The 21,504-nt window shown below is 39.4% G+C and overlaps 1 protein-coding gene and 1 long non-coding RNA gene across 10 annotated transcripts in view; one reads left to right on the top strand and one right to left on the bottom strand.

Moving 5' to 3' along the window:
- The window catches only part of TENM2 (teneurin transmembrane protein 2), a 1,285,129-nt gene that overhangs the window by 1,084,274 nt on the left and 179,351 nt on the right, over window positions 1-21,504 (bottom strand). The window lies entirely within an intron of this gene.
- Window positions 11,483-14,950, top strand: LOC101927908 (uncharacterized). The gene is made up of 2 exons (NR_134280.1): window positions 11,483-11,680; window positions 14,519-14,950. It is a non-coding gene; the product is annotated as an uncharacterized LOC101927908 (long non-coding RNA).

The following is a 21,504-nucleotide window of genomic DNA, read 5'->3' as shown; positions in this document are numbered from 1 at the left end:
ATTTTAAAACTTTGCACATGCAGCTAATATCAGGACATTCCAGCTCCAAGACTGTGCCCAAACCACAGGGTGACCAACGGTCCTGGTTTGACAGGGGCTAAGGACCTGAAACTTTCAATGATAAAACAGAGTTGTGGACAACTCTGTAAAAGTTGGTGAATCTATCTCTGAATTTCTTCTATTGTCCTCTGGCCCCACCAGCCATGAAGACATTCCTAATGAAGTCAGGTCAAGAAATGAACTACAAACTAAAAGTTGTAAGTATATAAGCAGAAATTCAGCGGGGAGCCGGGGTTGCGGGGGTGGGGCTCAAGAAACCTACGCCACCAATAAGCCTTATTTACTAAAGGGGAAAAATGCCTACAGTGTATAAATCCTATAGTAACTGTTAATCCTCTCCAGGAATGAAATAAAATAAAATAAAAAAGAATGTAGCTGATAAATTACTTACCGAAAATGTAATGCTCAAAGCAGTAACCACAATACAATAATTATACGACTTGATTAAACATAAAAATAAATCTGTCTTTTACTTCTCTCTCATCCCGTTAGTACGTACAATGAAAGGAAAAGCCTTTTTAAAAGGTACCTCACGGCCAATTTTTTCCCCCTTAATTCTGCATCGTAACAAACAAAGGTAAAATCAAAAATCATGCAAGCGGTGAAGTAGAAGCTTTTTCCTGTTATCCTTGGAAGGATGAGGACAGTGCCAATTAAAAATATGTTTCCATGTAGCTTTCAGAAAATGCCTTTTTAACTCCTTGAGAGTGGAATGCCTTATTAAGAGAAAAAAAATCACAAAGTATAACAGCTTATAAATCATCAATATTTGGGGGTGAAATCAATCCATTTGTCTCAATTTAAACATACGGAACCTCTCCTAACCTCATTGATGTATATAAGGTTCTCTGTTCATAAAGTCTGAAATGAAAATGAGCATTGAATCTCTAAAAATATATGCTAACAATGTTGCCTTTCTTAAGGTAACAAGAAAAAGTTGGATAATTCAATAGAACATGAGCAAATTAAACTATTTCTGCTTTAAGTGGAAGAATGTGGCCCCATTTTATATGCGTGTGTGCAAGTCTCAATGTGACTCTTTTCCCTCTGTTGAGATACTTGACTTTGATTTTATTTTTATCATTTACGCTGTGAAATGCCAACACCATGCCATTCCTACAAAACACGCTTTTATCCATTTTTTTTTTAAGTTCACGTTCAAGTTAGAAAGTAAGTCATATCGCCAGATCTCGTTTTGAAAAGGTTGTACTCGCCACAGGCTTAACACAACGGTGGGAGACAGTGTGGAAGGGATCGATAAAGTAGTATTACCCTTTGTGATGGTGAGGCTCCGCAGGACATTCCGGCTTAACTCTGCTGTCTGCGCTAACACTCCATCCTTACCCACTGGGAAAGTGCACTAAAGCACAGTTATGGACCAAGAGCCCCGACCAGGATGAGAAACTCACTTCCTTCACCTTGTTCTGGAGCCGCTTTAATAAAGCCAGAGAAAATCTGGATGCTTTAATGTGGAGTTTCCAATTTGAAAGCCAAATGTATAAACACCCTGAAGTCTGAGGGCATAGGTCTTGACATTCAGACAGGTCTATGCATGGTCCAAGACGCTTCACTTTGACAGAAGGCCTATAAATGCAGAATTTCTTCCACCTCAACTTGTCACTTGTGATTTTAAAAAGCCAGCTTTTGTGATTGTAGGGATGCAATACTGCAATGTAATGAGTTTATATTAATAGCCTCCTTCACTTGCCAAGTGGACTTAGGGAATAATATGTTAAATTTCCCTCCAAATTAAATGTTTATAATTTCTCATTTGTCACTGTAAGAATAAAATTACAACTCTATGGTTATGAATGTTATAAGGTCTGAGGATATGATCATGCTGTTACCATTCATGTTAATAGGTGGCAGCTGAGGCTGCTCAGGCCTGAGACTTTGAGGCTTTGCGTGTTTTATAGTAGGGACCATATGGACCTGCTGCAGTTCGTCTTTTCTAATAAGAGTACTGAGGCTTTCATTTAATTAAACAGAGCTCACTTCGCTATTCAGGCAAAGTTAATGACAAGTAATACAGATTCCTTTATAGGGCCTTATGACAATACAACTGATTTAAGTCCTTTCCCGTGTTCCTATTATCTTTCAGGCCACATGTCAACTGCTTTCCCTGACACGAATATGGGGAGCCACCTCCCTCTGGTCCTCTCTCCCATCAAATACACCTCTGATTCGAATTGAACTTTCTCTGAGTCTTGACACCCATCCTATCCCCTAGGATAAGACCAAGGCACTTCTCATTAATCTATTGTATCTTCTAATACCTGATCTAAGAATTGTCATTATTTGACAAAAGCCAACAGTGAACCTACCAGGGAATACATGCAAGTAAATAAGGATGGGTCTGCAGAGAACTGTGTTTTCTGCCTCTCAGAAAATTGCCCACAAGGGATTGCAATTCAGGTTGGGTATGACATTTTGGGACTCAAACAACTGGCCTTCTGCATTGTCACAGGACATCTTTAAAGAGGAAGTTTTGGATATAATTACCGATTTCCCTTACTGGTGACTGTCTTGTAGTCTAATTTTTTTTTCTTTTATGTATACATGCCTCAAATAATGCTGTACTACATAACTACTAGCCATTAAGTACAAACACCATTGTTAAATCTTTTAGGCTTAGGCTGTCAGGTGAAAAACTGGAGGAAAAAAGCCCTCTTTAACTCATAGAACAAATTCATTTCCCCTTTGTCTCAACTTTCCTTGACTGAACTACACCTGGCTCTTATTTTTAAAACTAAAAGCATCATTAATGTGATTAACTAAAGAGCCAGCTGCCATAGGTCAACACCCTCAGCAATACTGGGAACTTGGAAAAGCTTTGACGTTGCAGTTTTTCTTTGCCTTGTCCCAGATAAAATTCTCAGGTCAATGTACCTAAGGTCTCTGAAAGTGAGAAGGAATGATATTAAAAATGTATCCCCATCCACGTTCTCCATCCAGATTAAACCACGGGGGTCACACAGAGACTGCTTTATTTTCCATCCTAATAGATTATTTTCCCCTTAGTTATTATATTGATATCTTTTTTATAGTTTTGGGAAAGTATAAAACTACACAAAAGGCACCTTACATGGAAGATACAATTATGAGCAAGAGTAAGCCCTGTCCTCAAGGGGCATAAAATCTGAAAGAGTAGAGAAGTAATTACGTACCAATGGTTATGATTGAGGCCACTGCAAAGCACAGAGATATGAAAGTCAGACAGCATGATTCACCCATGTGATACTTCTACTTTACTTGGAAGCATAGGATCAATCCTGCTAAGCTACATTTATACCTTCCTTTCTAAGTTGGTAGATGAATAAATAAGATCACAATTGCAAACCCTCTAGATAATATGCATTTGAGTATCTATTTCATTAAAGTTATTGTAATGTGCAGCCCAGTTAGATAGAATGATAAAATGGCAGAAAAAGCTCAGTGAGTTTTGGGGACAGGAGCTTAGCCCTAGCTGGCTGATGGTTCAAGAAAAGCTTCACAAAAGTAAAGGGCTACGTTTAGTCATGAAGCACAAGTTGGGTAAAAAAGAACAACAACAACAACAAAAAGTTTCGGACACACACAAAAGACGCATTCAGAAATAACTGGGTTGGGTGAGAATGTCAAGTTCCTACAGAGAATATTCTAGAAGATCAGCTTGAAAGAATAGGAGAAAGACTCACTGAGAGAATATCATCAGGGAGTTGCTGTTAATTTGAAGTGCAATGAGGATTCTGAATGTTTAGAGATTCACCACATCTTTATGAAGTAACCTGGCAACTTCGTGGAAAGGTTTTGATTTGAGAAAGACCACAGATACAGCTGGGCATGGTGGCTCACTCCTGTAATCCTAGCACTTTGGGAGGCCAAGGTGGGTGGATCACTTGAGGTCAGGAGTTCAAGACCAACCTCGCCAATACGGTGAAACCCCATCTCTACTAAAAATGCAAAAATCAGCCGTGTGTCACGGCACGCGCCTGTAATCCCAGCTACTCGGGGGGCTGAGGCAGGGGAATTGCTTGAACCCAGGAGGCTCAGGTTGCAGTGAGCCGAGATTGCATGCAGCTGCATTCCAGCCTGGGCAACAGAGTGAGACTCTGTCTCAAAAACAACAACAAAAAGAAAGACCACAGACCACAGATAAAGAGGTAGAAGCAGTGTGAGAGTTCAGGCCAGAGGAAATGAGGGCCTTTTATCAGAATGATGACAGAATGAGTGATAAAAATGATGGCAGAGAGGGGAAACATTGAAGACAGAAAATTCAGGAGTTGGCAATTAATTGAATGTGGGGTACGACAGAGAAAGGGGAACACATTTTAAAGATTCACATTTCAAGTCCCATGACAAAGAATGTGACAAAATGTTACACACAAAAAAGTAATCCATATTGGAGATGATATTATCTTTTCAATCACATAAGTTACTTTGGTTCTTGCTACATTTATTACATCATTTTAAAGCTTAAAAAATTGTGTTACCACTGGCCATCTGAAACTAAAATTACTGATGATATAAACTTTCTAATCAATATAACATCTGTGCTGTTAACATATCTCAGGGCATATTTTGGATCTGAGAAATACAGGCACTATTTCTTGAAAAACAGACAAAAATATTTAAAATTTTTTAAAAGGACAAAGACATTCAGTTCCCCATCTTAAAACAGCACCCAATAGGGATGTCGGTGTTCCCTTGTTTAGGGCAGCATTCTTTGCAATAGCCAAGATAGAGAAACGACGTCAATGCCTGTAAATGGATAAATGGATAAGGAAATTATGGTATCTATAGCATGTGAATATACATAAATGTTCGGTTTTAAAAAAGAAAAAGATACTACCACTTGCAACAACACTGATGAATCAAGAGGACATTGTGCTAAGCGAAATTAGCCAGACACAGAAAGAAAAATACTGCATGATCTCACTTATATGTGGAATCTTAAAAAAAAAAAAAAAGTTGAATATATAGAAACAGAGTACAACATGGTTTCTGGGGCAGAAAAAACAGGGAGGAAATGGGAAGAAGTAGGTCAAAGCATACAAACTTGTAATTATCTAGGACGGTAAGTTTAGGGACCTAATGTACAGCGTGTTGACTATTATTGATAATATCGTATTGCATAATGAAAATGTGCCAAAAGTAGATGTTAGGTACTCTTACACACACAAAGGTAATTATGAAGAGGGGTGGATATGTTAATTTGCTTGATTGAAGTGTTCATTATATATATACAGATATCAAAACTACATATTGTATACCTTAAATATACAATAAAAAGAAAATTAAAACAAAGCAAGAAGACATCTATACTACTTACATTGGGTACAAAATAAAACTTTTCAGCGTTCATTCTATTAATTCCTGTTTTTCAGTATTTCATGAAAGTATTTAATGGGCTAATACTATGTCAAAACAGCAATGTGGGAAATAAGGGCACTAGAGAGAGCCCCAAAACAAATCTGCCACATAAGAGAAGGTATTTGCTTCGTGTGACAGGGAAAATTAAATCTTCATGCCTACATAAGTGCATAAGAATAGGCACAAGCTGAAGGTACATTAATCTTAATCACTGTTTATTTGTGGGTGTTTAGATGTATTACATGCAGGGTATGTTTCCATTATTGTTGTTTTGAATGAAACACGCAGAAATTCATTGTGAGAAAACCAGGGAAATAATTTTCTCAGTTGTAGAACTCCAGGAACAAGGAAAAAAAAAAAAACGAGAAAACTCAGTTCACATCACAGCCTTGCACACCATAGCTCTGTCTTTATTTCAAGGGGGTGGAAAAAGGAAATGAAGAACAAATCGCTCCCTCAAATGTTATTAATAACAGAATTTCTCTACATTATTATATTTTTATATTAAAAATCACATAAGGATCATTTTAAAAGATTAAGATGTGTCTGGAAAAGAATTTCAGCAAAAAAGTGGTTAACATTCATCATAGCCTTTCAAAACAAAATTGAATTCTACTTTTATCTGAAAACCTCCCATTGCGATATTACTTCTATATTTTTTTACATATATAGCCTGCAACTTACCTAGGGCACTATTTATCATCTGGACAACCTAAGTACACCCTACACACCCACATACACACACACACACACACACACACACACTCAAATCACCTTGAGACAAATGAGAAATTCTCTTTTGGGAAACTCGAAACTGTATTAAAATGGTAAGTAGCAAGTCTTCACTCTTCCTTCATTAACTTAGGCAGACAAGTGTACACACACCAAAAAAATCAAGGTTCCAACATGCTCCTGGTCATAAAAATCATCTTTGCTTCCTCCAGCCCACAAAGTTTGTTCATTTTTACAAAGACATTATAAGCTGTGTTGGAAAAAGCGGTACCCAGAGGAGCCTTCCAATTATCCACACAGGTAGCCTAGCCCATCTGGGAACCTCTACAGGTATGGGTCAGGATTTAAGGATTCAAAATAATTATTGCAAAGGAAGAGCTTGAATGAGTAATTTCTCGTCGGTATTCTATTGACAGTAGTAAAGCAGAGAAAGGGGAAACAGGAAGTTGGGGTTTAGAAAAGTAGAAATAACACAGTAAGTAAGGAAATTCAGGTTTGCCGATTGTTTTCTGCAAGTGGCCTATAGTTTTAAAAAGAGCACAGTCCAAGGTAAATTGTAGCAATTATGCCTCACAGGTACCTGTGTCAGAACAACCCTATGTGTCGCCTGCTGTAACTATTCATGCTTTGGAATTCTGAGCCTAACACCACAGTCTTAAGTAAGAAGGAATTCTATTCAGACAGTTCACATGTATATTTTAGGTGCCTTTTGTATACAGAGTTTGGGTAACGGATGTGGTAAGGAGGAGAAACACACAGTACCTTCAGACCCTGCTTTAGATTTTAGCCAAATTCAGGAATGAATGCAAATGATTTTTGAAAGATAAAATCATGTAGGAAATAAAAAGAGAAGAGACTTTCCCAGGGATTTCTATTGAAACGTTTAAAAAATGAAAGCTCATTTGAGACCAGCATGAGCAACTCGGTGAGACCCAATCTCTGTAAAATAAATAAATAAATAAATAGCTAAGCATAGTGGAATGTGCCTATCGTGCTGGCTACTTGGAAACTCAGGCAGGAGTATCGCTTGAGACCAAGAATTAGAAGCAGCAGGACCACTGCACTCCAACCTAGGCAACAGAGTGAGACCCTGTCTCTAGAAAAAAAAAAAAAAAGATGAAAATGAGAAAGAAAAAGAAAAAAAACGTAAAAAGTTCAAAATATGCAGCTTCTGCCCTGAAACCACCACTATTCCATCTGAGAGGCAGTCTTAACATCAAGACTAGTCAAGAGCTAGGGCTTTGGAGTCAGAAAGTCTGGGTGTCACTTCCAGCTCCACCACAGCTAAATTAGTGGTCTTAGGCAAAACGACCCTTAATTGAGCCTTAGGTTCCAAATCTGACAATGAAGAAAGCTGAGAACAATTGTTGGAGATTTAAATGAGATGCCTTTTCCATCAAGTTTACCACATTGCCTATGAATAGATCACACGGATTTCTGGATATAAGGGTACAATTTTCTCAGATGTCCTCAGAAAAGAAAAGATCACCCTTTTCAAATATTCACGTTGTAGCATCTCTTCCAAATGGTCTATTTTGGACCCAGTATTGCATATGACTCTCATTTGTTGGGTTACTGTTCTGACGGTTGTGCCTGTGTCACACTGGTTGTGAAACACTTTGAACACCACTCCTGCTGTTTGGAGAAGACACGATGGCTTGTTAAGACTTCAACCAATGTTAGTTTGGATGGTATAGAGGTTACCCTATCAAAAGGGAGGCAAGAACATTTAATGCTGATTTTGTCATGATCCATGCAGGGTAGAATATCACATTCCCAAGTGCCAAGTGAAAATAAGCCTTTAAAAAGATCTTTTATTAGTTTGTCTTTGTTCTCTCCCCTAGATCCATTCCCCACCTTGTTCTGCTCTGCTCTGGGTGGCCGGAAGCTAACCTGAGATAGCTTCACGCACCCTGTGGAATCTTATTGATTCAGCCAATGGAAGATAATAGAAAGAGTTCAGAAGGCAAAAGAGAAAGTCCAGGGTATTTCTTCTCAGTTGATCTTCCTCTCCCTCTCTGTCTCCCTTGGGTCTTCACGGTCCTTCTTGGAAGTGGCTGTGCTCTTCCCCAGCCACATTCCTATTGAGTAGTTAATCTTTCATAGCTCCAGGTTGCAAACAGTCTTGGGTAACATAGTTGTCTTCCCTTGTTTTTTCAGTTCTGGAGGTGAAAACAGCTGTTTCATGGTTGCTCATCCCTGGGTAGTTCACCACTCCTTGTCGATTGCCTTAACCTGCCTATGGCTTCATATGTATTTCTTTTGTTAACCTCTCTTCTGTAAAACACTTTACAATGTGCCCTCTGTTTCCCGTTGGGCCCCTGCCTGATAAAAGTAATTAAATAAGCATTAGAGTGAGTGGTTATGTTATGGAGATCACACACATAGGCAGGTCAGGAAGGACTTCACTGATAAAATGGCAACTCAAGGTTCTAGGAAGTGACAGAAGGGGCCATTCAGCTACCAGGCGGAACAAATGTATAGTTATGGTAAATATAAAGTGTAAAGGTAGAATTTCATTTGGGATTTTCAAGGCAGGAAAAGAGACTAGTGTGGCTGGAACAGAGTCAAAGGCAAGGCAGGGAAAGAGGCTAGTGTGGCTGGAACAGAGCCAAAGGGGCAACAGTCATTAGCAATTCAGTTGCATTAAAGACATGGGCCAGGATGCAATCACCCGGATAGAGAATGCAGAGAGAGAAGCTACAAAGACCCACGACAGAGCTGTGGAAGGGAAGAGGATGGGCCAGCCCCCAGCAAAGGATACTGAGAAGGAGAAACCAGAGGAGAATCAAAAGTGATAACCAAGAAGTCAAATGAAAAAAGAGTTTTAGGAGACGGTGATAACCAAGAAGTCAAATGGAAAAAGAGTTTTAGGAGACGTGATTCACTGTGTCAAATCCTGGGGTAGATCAAGTAAGATGAGAACTGCGCTCAGGCCACTGGATTTAGCTATGAGGTTCGTGGTGGACTTTGACGAACGCTGCTTTGGTGAAGTGTTTGGAAACAAAAGTCTTACTGAAGTGGGTTCAACAGAAAACGAAGAGGGATTAAAGATCAACTTTTAAAAGTATAAATTAAACCAAAATAAAAACAAAAAACTGACCTAATGTTATGTCAATGGATTTTTATGTCTTGACATAAAATTCCCAATGAGAGTGTCATATAGAAACTTAAACATGCTGTGTCTTAAACAACTTACATGATACGTGACATGCCATGCAAATTTGGCAAATAAGTTTTTAGTGATTTTAACCAATATATTAAATGTCATAAGAGGCATATCACTATCCCAGAGAGTTTATACACTCAATTTGGCCAAAACAACGTTTATTTTGTCTTCTTATGTGGAACTTCACACACACATACACCATACCTAGCTAGTATTTATGCAGAAGTTTGCTTTGCTGTATCTGAGATTCAAACAAAATCCTATTTTGAGATTGACCTGCAAACCAATGAAGCTTGACTAGGTTAGAATAGAGGTAACAGCTCGATTGTACGTTTTTCCCCTGAGAGGGAATTCAAAAGAAACATAGTTGTTAATCCTCCTACAAGGAATTCTACGGTATGCTTATCCCTTCTTGAAAACAGCATAGGCTATTCTCTAGAAAGAAGACATAAGATTCCATGTAAACACTCCAGCCAATAGATGTACCCGTTTCACATGAGCAGGAGTGTGTGTGAGTTCTTCAGTGGGTAGGTGGCACAGGTACTGAAGGAGGTATCAGGACTGACCACACCCAAGAAACATGGGTCAGTGGTATCCTGCCATCTGTCTGTATACTTTCCATGGTATGGTGATAGATGGCCCTATCTGTCAAGAGCTGTGATGCTTACATCAGATACATATAAATCACTTAGACAAGACTACCCTTTTACAGAAAGCTCATTCCTACAAAAGAACAACTACATCAAACAAATGCATGGAACAACAAACACCTTTTCCTTTTATTCCATGGCACCAAGAGGAAGGCCAAAAGAGGGATATGACATATTTTGGGATTTAACTTTCAGAAAAATAATTTATTTATTGTGATAAAGGGTAACACTTTCTTCATGGAAATGTCAGCATGGGCAAGTGGAATTTCAATGAGCACAGAGACTATTTATTGAGTGCTTACTATGGTCTATGCACACCGCTGAGTGTGCTACATGCGTAGTCTCATTTATTTCTCAAAATGACACTGGGAGGACAGTATTACTGCCCTGATTATTTTACAGGGAGAGAAACAGAGGCTTGGGAGTTAAGGGACATGCCCAAGGCAAGAGATCACACATCAGTGGAAGAGTTGCAATGTGACCACAGGAAGTTAGGCCCTAGGACCTATAAAAGAGAAAATCACTAAAATAGTAGCTCATATTTAATGTATACTGACCATGAAGCACAACCTTTACATGGACTTTATTTGCATGTTTTTCTTTCCACAACTATTACTATCATCCCATTTTACCAATGAGACAACGAAAACATCCAGAGTTGAAACTGATCACCTTGGTGATCTACTGCCAGTGAGAGAACAGAGCCCCTAGCTATTTATTAAACCCCACTCCTCTGCCACCAGAGGAAGCACCAAAGGAGTGCGGTTTAATAAATAGCTAGGCAAAGGAAGCACCATATCCCTCTGTACAGACGCTTCCATTTCAAAGATTAATTTACTGTTATTATTAAACCCAGGCATCAAGCTGGGCAACGTGGCTCACGCCTATAATCCCAGCACTTTGGAAGGCTGAGGCAGGAGGATCACAAGGTCAGGAGATCGAGACCATCCTGGCTAACATGGTGAAACCTCGTCTCTACTAAAAATACAAAAAATTGGCTGGGCATGGTGGCACATGCCTGTAGTCCCAGCTACTTGGGAGGCTGAGGCAGGAGAATCGCTTGAATCCAGGAGGCAGAGGTTGCAGTGAGCCAAGACGGTGCCACTGCACTCCAGCCTGAACAACAGAGCGAGACTCTGTCTCAAAAAACATAAATTGATTAAAAAAAATAAACTCAGGCATCATTTTCAAATATCAACAAACATGTATTACACACTCAGGATTATCAAGGCCTTGTGCTAGCCGCTACAACTGAACACAAAGAAGCAAAGTTCCTTCCATCAGTAACTGTAAAATAAGTCTGGGAAAACAACGCACAAAGCCTTATGGAAAATTTAAGATTGAATTCTGTTGAACAATTTCTTTTACTATGCAGAAGAAGCACAAGTAAGTGATTATTTGAATGGAAAGGACAATTCAGATGATGAAGATATCATTGGCATGTGTGGTAGCACAAAAGTTTCAGGATGATGCTGGTATTGGAGAAAACAAGAGGACTTGTGAAGGGTAGCAACAGGATATGGAGGAAGACATGTGGACAATTTTTGCTGAGACAGCTGGTGAATACAGAGAACAGTGAATGCAAACTGGATCAAGTTAGAGAAGAGGTGGAATCTCAGGCAGAGTTTGGACTGTATTTTGTGCATTAAGAGACGTTTGACCTCAGCCGTGACATGATATAGAACACTGCTTGCAGAAGATAAATTCGCCCTTCTAGGTAAGCATAAACAATTCAAACTTATACACAGAAAGTAAATGAAGCTATAACTAACTTGAAGTTGATGTAAGATTTTTCAGAACACCTATGCGGCATCTACTGTCAGCATGTTTATGCTTACACTGAAAAACAGGCAGATTGATTTTCCCTGATTAAGACTGTTTCAGTCTGGTCTGATGAGTAAATACCCAAAGCAGCCACATGCTTAGCTGCCCTCCCTCTGCAATTACTACCTATTTTTTTTTCCACTCTTGATTCAAAGTGTGGGTCTCAATGTGTAATTCTTAACTTTTCAGTGTAGGCACACTTGTCTATCGCTTTGTCTTGTAAGTCTCCTGCTTCTTCTAAGAGGGACAATTATTCACTCATTCATTCATTCATTGTGTGTTTTCTGAATACTTACAAAGTGCCAGGGCAGGTGCTAGGCTTTGGGGATGCAAAAATAAAATGTCATCTCAGTGTTTAAGGAGCTCACAATCTGCTTGAGGAACACAAAAGAGTGAAACAGTCACAATATGTTGGCTGAAGTCTGCAATAGTCCTACATATAACGTGCTATGTGATCACACATAAGACAGTCTTCATTCTGCCTAGTGCATCCTGGCAGGCCTCCCAGAGATAGGAATTTTTAATGAGAGTTGTGAAAAATGAGTAGTCATTCTCCAGGTGGCTGAAGAGGCAAAAGTCATTTCTAAAAGTGGGTGAAGAATGTGGAAACGCTTGGGAACGTGGGGAACTGCCAGAAAGAGTGATCCGGAGCTGAGTTTATGACAGGGGAGGGATCAAGAGGGGATTGATGCTGCGACGTGTTTGAACTTGATTCAGCAATCCCATTTCCAGTTTAGAAACAACACAGAGCATGGCCTGGGGCGTGAACAAATGGGAACTTACCATAATAAAAGTCACATACATTGTAGAGTTATCATTACAAAGATAACCTAATTTTATCTTGTGAACCTCTCTGTAGTCTCCTAGACAATTGAAGACACCCTGGTTTGTCAGAATTTACAGACGGGACTTGCTGATCCAATAAAAAACTATGGCTTTGTGTCTTCCCAACTCTAAGTCAATAATGTCAGCTAAAGGATTGTCATTCTACCTCCCTAGATGTTAACTCTGACAACTTCTCGGCCAAGCATTTTTGTAAGACAGTCATCCAGGTAGCCACAGCTTGAAAGTGAAGAATCGAGAAGGAAGGTTTGGTCTTGCCAATTATAGGAATTTGGCACCAGGTTCCAAAGCATGGTATGGCTTTGCTCATCTAGCCCCTGGAATGTGTACATGGCTAGACTGATCCTAGGCTATGAGGACCACCCAAGGTAGGTTTGAGATTCCTGAGAAATATCTATTCTCTGACTCCCTGTGCTCTGCACTCCCCAACAAAAGAATGTGACATTATGAGAATGGAACATTATAATATTATTGAGAATAGGCAACCTGGGTGTTTAGAGATCAGTAAAAACAAAGTTAACAAAAATAATGGATGCCAGATATTAAATGACTTCTTTACACTTGCTGCTTTAATGTGTTATTTAAAGCACACTAGATTTTGGCTAAAAGGGTATATAAAGGTATGATTTAAATACTTTTTTATAGGGATGACCCAAACTAACTGGATAGACATTTGGAACTTAAACTAGGCAAAATCATAATAAACCTCCCTTCCATATATACATTCTTTTACAGTTTAAAAAACGTTTTCACAAACTTAATTTTTCTGAAGCTCTCAACAATATTATAAGCCAGAAAGGACAGAGAGTCCCACATCCAGCCTACCTGAACAGACACAAATAACTGATGTTACTTTCCAAGGACAGGTTATAAAACTAGCACAGAAGCAAGATATATTAGTGACCAGGGAAACCAAATATGTAGGCATTGACTCTCAGCTTCATTCTGAATACCAAAAAAATAGAGCATTTAGTTATTTTCTTACTACCTGGAAGTTTGTGTGTGTGTGTTTGGTGTGTGCAGATGTGTCTGTGTTTGTATGTGTATGTGTGCTGAACAATGTTTTATAAACATAAGCCTGGCCTGTCGGCATAGAATTTAAAAAATAATAATAAGAGTAACAGCAGTGGTTTAATTGGATATTTGAACCATCATTCACAAAAGCTTTCCCTATTCATGACCTAATTTGAACATCCCCCTTCATATGGCCTTATGATATTTATATATGAGAATATATGAATATTCATACAAGAAAATTGAGGCTCAGAAACTTTTTCAGGATTTTGCAGCAAGCAAATGACAGAAGCAATCTAGAATTCTGGTTGTTGAATATGTAGCCCAATGTCAGTACCATCACATCAAGACAATTTCCCAGTCCTCCCAAATTGGTAGACTTTATTCCTCTGTTAATCAGTATTTATAGCTTTCTGGCTGTATAGACATAAACTTTTATAAAAGGTATGATTATTTGTACATCTTGTCTTATTATCTTCACTGACAATGGTGGTCAGTGAAGATTTATACCTTATATTTCATACATCTTATGGTATAATTATTTGTACACCTTACTTGGTCTTATTTTACCTTGATCTTATTATACCTTAGTCATAGCTTGATCTTTTATGGTCAGAATAAGATTTTTTTTGTGTATTCAGCGTTCACCAAACCTATCTTTAATTATTCCCGATTTGGTGTCTAGATCTTGTGGAAGAGACAGTCAGTGCTGATCAACATTGATGTCCCCTCTTCTTTCTGGTCACCCCACCAGACCGCATCCTCGTGTCAGAGACTCAGCCAATGGAGCGTGTGTAAAAATTAGGCCCGCTATTTCCACACTGAGCCAAGTAAGAAAATCATCTCATTTATAATTCTTACTCCCCTTTTCTAGCCACCTACTGAATAGAGAAGACACCAGGGACCCAGAGATGGGTGGAGCCACAAGACAGAAGAAACCTGGGTCACTGCACGACTCTGATGGGTAGAACCCATTCCCTGTCCAATGCTTCTCTCTGCTCCCCACTCCCACCAGTGTGCATTTGAACTGTGACATGAGCAAGAAGTAAACCCTCATTATGTAAAGCCGCTGAAGTTTGAAGGTTACTTATTATAGCTGCAGCCTACTCAGACTAATACAACTCTCCATTATGAGAAGCTAATATCTACAAAGAAGTAATATTCAACGCACTCCAAAAGAGCATACATTGTAAAGAGATTTTAATAAGTTATTGCATATTGCTGATTCTGAGAATACTTGTTTGGGGAAAAGTAATCACAATGCTATACTTTCAAATAAATACATAATCGTGATTTTAATGATCAATCAAATTCTCCTATCATCAAAATCTTTGGGTCATGATAGATAAATTATGTGAAGTACACATTGTAATATAAGACTGCCATCAAGATATTCAGGACACACTAATAAGCAAAGTATGGATGGACAAATCTAATTTAAGTCGGTCCTGCTGAGTCATTCGAGATTCGAGATATCTATCTATATAAAATGAACATAATCCATTAGCATCAAAATAACAAAGTCCCCCAAATGCAGAGAAGTCTAGTTCTGCTCATGACTTTTATCAGCATGACATGAAGCTAATATTCATTTATCAAACAGTAAGGGCATTGTTTTGCACTCAAATAATTATCAGTTAATGAAGCTTAAAAAAAGAGCCTCTCGTGTCTAGATTGAACTATTCTTTCTATGGTGCTTACCCTCATATTCCTAAATACTTATAATGTTCCCATAGTAAACGAGGTCAGCTTATGTAAGCTCAAAACAATAGGAAATTTTAGCCTCAGAACATAATAGCAAGAATATTAGAATACATTCATTCAATTCAAAAACTGAGTCTAAAATTCCATACATGGCTGCATGTCTTGACATCTATAGTGAAGCTATGTCTTTAGATAATCTCTCATGTGCTTACAGCAAAATCTGGAGTCCAAACCACTCCATTTGTTAGAAGGGAAAACTAAGGATCTGAGAGGTAAAGCAGCTCACCTACTACTGCAGAGGAATCTGGTCCTCGACTGAGAAAGATGTCTTCCAAATCTCATTTTGGTGGTTTCTTGTCTTTGTGCCTTTTTGTTCCTGCTCTGTCTCATTGAAAACTGAGATGAGAGATGTTCTTATTTGAAGCTGGCGTTCTTGCCACACTAGGACACACAGTTTTCTGATTTGGAAAAAAAAAGGGTTTACTTTTTCTAGTACTCTTAATGCAATTGCACTCACGCACTAAAGTGGAGGGCAGTGGATGTGCAATTGCAGAAAAACCCTGGAATTTCTTGGTAGGTGAAGGCTCATGGAGGGCTCTGATATGAGCATGCAGTTCACAGAGGATTTGGAGACTGCACCTTTGCCTCATCTTTCTTTCCCTCCAAGTCTCCAGAGGACTATGCCTATGGAGGCTGTGTCTATTGCAACCTTCAAAATACCTTTGTTTTTTCTTATTATAGATACAGTAAAATACTCCAGAGACAAGGGACTTGCTGGGTAGCAACAGCCTGCTGGAATGAATGAAATAGCCAAATCTTCCCTGTAATGTTGTAGTCAGAGCATCATAGCAGAGCCTGTGGTTACCGTAATCAGCAGTCCCCATGGAAGAGCTGATTTAAAGCAGCACTGATTTAAAGTCCCTGGTGAAAGTGTTAAAACCGAGCAAAGCAGCGTGTAAAGGATAGGATACAGAAGTCCAGATAATTCATAAACAAAGTCCAGATAAATCATAAACATTAAGATTCTCCAGTTTTCTCTTTCCAGGATATATATTTTTTAATCTGTTAAAAACATGCATATTTCCAGTATTTTCTCACTGTATCCGAGAAGAATGTGTATTCATATTTAGAAGGGTTGGCTAGGTGCAGTGGCTCACGCTCTCACGCCTGTAATCCCAGCATTTTGGGAGGCTGAGGCGGGAGGATCCCTTGAGTCAGGAGTTCAAGACCAGCCTGAGCAACATCACAAGACCCTGTCACCACAACAAAAGCCAGGCGTGGTGGCATGTGCCTGTAGTCCCCGATATTCAGGAGGCTGAAGCAAAGGACCAATGGAGCCCAGGAGTTTGAGGCTGCAGCGGGTTATAATTGTACCACTGCATTCCAGCTTGAGTGACAGAGTGAGACCCCCCACCTCTGAAGAATAAAAAAGGAGGTTACCAGACAGGAGGTGAACAAGCCATTTATTTGGTGGTTCCTCTGAACAAAGGGCTACCATTATTCAAATCTAAAGTGGGCATCTCTACTGTTGGAACTCTGCTCCCAAATGTATGTTTCATGACTAGACAATGAATTTGTAGCACATTCTACCCATTCAATTGAGAGGCACACTGAGTCAGCATTGGATGAAAATGCTTCACTTTAGTTACTGTTCTTAAAAATCATGTTTCTCAACAGGTTGAAATAATTCATTGGCAAGAAAAAGCTGAAACCCATTTTCCTCTCACATAGTTACGCATTTTTCTGAAATGCACTCTGCTTTCTTTCTGGTAGGATTGGTCATGAGTATCAGGGTTCTGGAAATAAACTTTTCTTTATTTCAATTACACAAAAAAATTGTTTTGGCTTAAAGCCTTTTTTCCCCAGTCCTAAGGAGGTTTTTTTTTTGTTTTTTGTTGTTTTTTTTTTTTAGATACAGTCTTGCTTTGTCACCAGGCTGCAGTGCAGTGGCGCCATCTCGGCTCACTGCAAACTCCGCCTCCCAGATTCAAGCAATTCTCCTGCCTCAGCCTCCCAAGTAGCTGGGATTACAGGCATGTGCCTCCACACCCAGCTAAATTTTGTATTTTTAGTAGAGACAGGGTTTCAGCATGTTGGCCAGGTTGGTCTCAAACTCTTGACCTCAAGTGATCTGCCCACCTCGGCCTTCCAAGGTGCCAGGATTACAGGCCTGAGCCACCATGCCCGGCTTTTATGTTTCAACATATATTTGAATATATGCTTAGAAGTCCAACATATATTTGAGTATTTGAGAATATAACATATTCTCAAAACTATCTATAACCCATCAGTGATCACTATCTTAGATTTCAAGTTCTTCCATGAGAAGAGGTATTTAGTCAGTCTTTGGTTTTTTTTTTTTTTGAGACGGAGTCTTGCTCTGTCACCCAGGCTGGAGTGCAGTGGTGTGATCTCAGCTCACAGCTGCTGCAGCCTCTGCCTCCTGGGTTCAAGTGATTCTCCTGCCTCAGCCTCCCAAGTAGCTGGGACTACAGGTACGTGCCACCACACCCGGCTAATTTTTGTATTTTTAGTAGAGACAGGTATCATCATGTTGGCCAGGATGTTGTTGATCTCCTGACCTTGTGATCTGCCCGCCTCAGCCTCCCAAAGTGCTGGGATTACAGGTGTGAGCCACTGCACCCGGCGTCCCAGGGAAATATTTTTCATAAAGAAGTAAATGGACTTTGGAGAGGTATGAACGACTCCCTATTTAAAATTCTGAATAGTGCATTGGCTCATCCACCCAGCTCTTGCAAGATCGACCATATGTGAAATTTGAATGTAGATTACAGTGTTTCAATTTAACAAGATTAAGGTGTGATTACATTGGTTAGTTTGTAATTTCATACTTTCTCCATTAAGGGATGTCAGCATTTAAGACCATTCTCAGTCATTTTTAATGCATACTGAAGCGGAAAAAAAATGCTTGCAGTTCTAAGTTATTAACAATTTAACTTTATTTAGTTTGTATTTTCTAATCTGTTACTTTAAAAAATATATGCTTCTCATATCTTCTCCACAATAACTTACATTACAGTCTGTTTAACTTTCTTTAACTTCGGCTTTCTAACCTTGTTTTCTTAAGACATTACCTTCCTCCCCTGGCCCACATTCATAGTTGAAGAACGGGGAAGAAAGCATAAAACTTTTAAAAGATACTAGGATATTTAGACCTAATTTGCTGATAGAAATTTCTATTTCCCCACTTCCTAGGGAGAAGCAGGGTATAGTCGAGTGATTCCCATCTTGGCTTCTGCTGAATACTGTGGTCCCACAAAATATTATTTTCATGCAAAAAAAGTAAATCATGGCCAAACACTGGTGAGAAATGCTGCATAACATATTAGTTTTTTGGAGAGTCACAATGCACATTTGCATATTAAAGTCCCTGGGATGTACTGCAGGAAAGAAATATGTTCAATCTTCTTCAAACAGTTGCATCATATCCACAATTTATTTGAACACACATACCTTTTTATTCTTGACACATTATTAAGATTCCTCAGGACACTAGTGTTCAAGGAACACAGTTTGGAAAAACCAATTCATATTGAAAATACAAGGGTTTTAGGGTGTGTTTTAAAATCCCCAGCTTTGATGCTTATAAGCTGTGTGACTTTGGGCAAGTTATCTAGCCTCTCTGAACCTCATTCCAATTTTACATTCCAACCAATATTTACTGAGCTTCCTTGGTGTTCTAGGTTCTGTGTTAGCTGGGCATGAGGGACATTGCAGTAAACAAAACAGGCACATCCCATCCTCAGGTAATTCAGGGTCAGGTAGAAGAGATAGACATTAAATAAATACATGTATAATTAGAGTGTTGATAAGTGCCAGAGAGGAAAAAGAATAAGTGGAGGAGATAATTACAGGAAAAAGCCTAAGTAGATTGAGTGGGCAGGGAAGTTCTCTGAGGAAGTGACAATTAAGCTGAGGCCTGAAAGAGATGTAAGATCCAGCGAAGCAAATTGTGTCAGCGAAGTATTCCAGAGAGTGGAAAAAGCAAATGCAGAGGCCGCCAAAGCGGTCTTGCATGCTGACTTCCCTTAAAGGAGAAAATATGAATCTTAGAGACTACCAAGGTATATCTTCCTTCATCTTGTTGGAAGAGCTTGTATCTGAGGTGCAGCAAAAAGGCCAGTGAGGCTGGAGCACAGCAGGCGGGGCATGAGTGGTAGGGACCATTGAAAGCAGCAACACTGGCAGCGGCCAGACCTCCGTCCTGTGGACCAGAATCCACGCAAAGGAGTCTGGACTTTAAGTGCAAAGGATGCTGGCTTGGCGTTATCTGATTCAGGTTAACACAGGGTGGTACACAGAAACAGGAGTCCAGTGAGGAGGTGATTTCTTGTTAAGAAACAGATTCAGATTCCTCTTCTGCAAACCTGGGCTATTAACTCTTAACTCACATGGCTGTAGAAAAGTGTCAAAACTTGGAAAACAGCTTGGTACAGAAAAGATGCCAAAATAGAACTCCCTGCTCCCATTTCTTTCCTGAGACATAGAGCCCAACTATCTAGAGACTTCCATATGTCTGGATTGACTTCCACCTTTTGAGTCTTGTACATTTCACCCCACTTTCTGAATGGTAACCTCTTGGGACTGTTTGTATGTGAAGTGGACCACACTGTAAATAATTGCAGAAAGAATGCCCTCTCTACTCTACCAGTCATCTCCAATGACAAGTGGGAGCGGGCACCACCAGTCTTTCTGTATGAATTCCATATTCCATCATTGGCAATGCTTGGATTCAAGTGTGCTTGTCTATCCAAACAGAACTGAAATGTGGGGGTTCTCTTGTGGGCGGGGCCAGAACCTAAATGAAAAATTACAAAGCACCTCCTAAAAAGAAAACACCTGTGCTGTTTGGACACTTTGCCTTTATTTTTTAAAATGATGTTTTTAAATTTAAAATAAAAATTTTTAACTGATAGATAAAATAGTATGTATTTATCATATAGAATATGATGCTTTGAAGTACATATACATTGTGAAATGCTTAAATCTAGCTAATTTTCAAGTCCATTACCTCACAAGGTTATTTCTGTGGTGAAAACACTTATTCACTCTCCTTGCGTTTTTCAGGAATACAATATGTTTGTCATTAACTATAGTAACCATGCTGTCTAATAGATCTCTTGAACTTATTCCTCCTGTCTAACTTTGCCTTTTTTAAAAGTGAAAATAAAACTTTAAAAAATTACCCAATTTATTTAACAAATAAATTGCATGGAAATAAAAGAATATGGGGGAAATTGTAGATTCTAAGAGACTTTAAAGACTGCTATGGGGCCAGGCACAGTGGCTCACGCCTGTAATCCCAGCACTTTGGGAGGCCTCGGTGGGCAGATCACCTGAGGTCAGGAGTTCCAGACTAGCCTGGACAACATGATGAAACCCAGTCTCTACTGAAAATACAAAAATTAGCCATGCTTGCCTATAATCCCAGCTACTTGGGAGTCTGAGGCAGTAGAATTTCTTGAACCCAGGAGGCGGAGGTGGCAGTGAGCTGAGATACGCCACTGCACTCCAGCCTGGGCGACAGAGTGAGACTCTGTCAAAAAAAAAAAAGAAAGAAAGAAGAAAGAAAGAAAGAAGGAGAGAGAGAGAGAGAGAGAGGAAGAGGAAGGAAGGAAGGAAGGAAGGAAGGAAGGAAGGAAGGAAGGAAGGAAGGAAGGAAGGAAGGGCTGCTATGGACTGAATGTTTGTATTCTCCCTAGAAATCATATGTTGAAACCCTAGTCCCAGTGGATGGTACTTGGAAATGGGGACTTTGGGAGATAATAAGATCATGATGGTGGAGACCTCATAGAGGGATTTGTAAGATTTGTATCCTTGTAAGGAGACAGGAGAGCTTACATGTGCTCTCCCTCTCTGTCTCTCTCTATTATGTGAAGATATAAGGAGAAGATGGCCTTTTGCAAACTAGGAAAAAGGTCCTTACCAGACTGCACCAGATCAGCTGGCACCGTGGCCTTCTCAGCAGCCTCCAGAACAGTGAAAAATAATGCTTTTTCGTTGAAGCCACACAATCTATGACAGCAGCCTGAACTGACTATGACAGAAAGACCTAGACCCCAAGCAGGCCAATCTAAACCATGAGATCTAGGGATATGTCCTGGGTGATAAAGAAGAGCAAGAAAGAGATCATAT

This window comes from Homo sapiens, chromosome 5, assembly GCF_000001405.40.
Source record: "Homo sapiens chromosome 5, GRCh38.p14 Primary Assembly".
Lineage (NCBI taxonomy): Eukaryota > Metazoa > Chordata > Mammalia > Primates > Hominidae > Homo > Homo sapiens.
The sequence above is the reverse complement of the archived record's forward strand: the minus strand, read 5'-3'. Positions and strand labels throughout refer to the sequence as shown.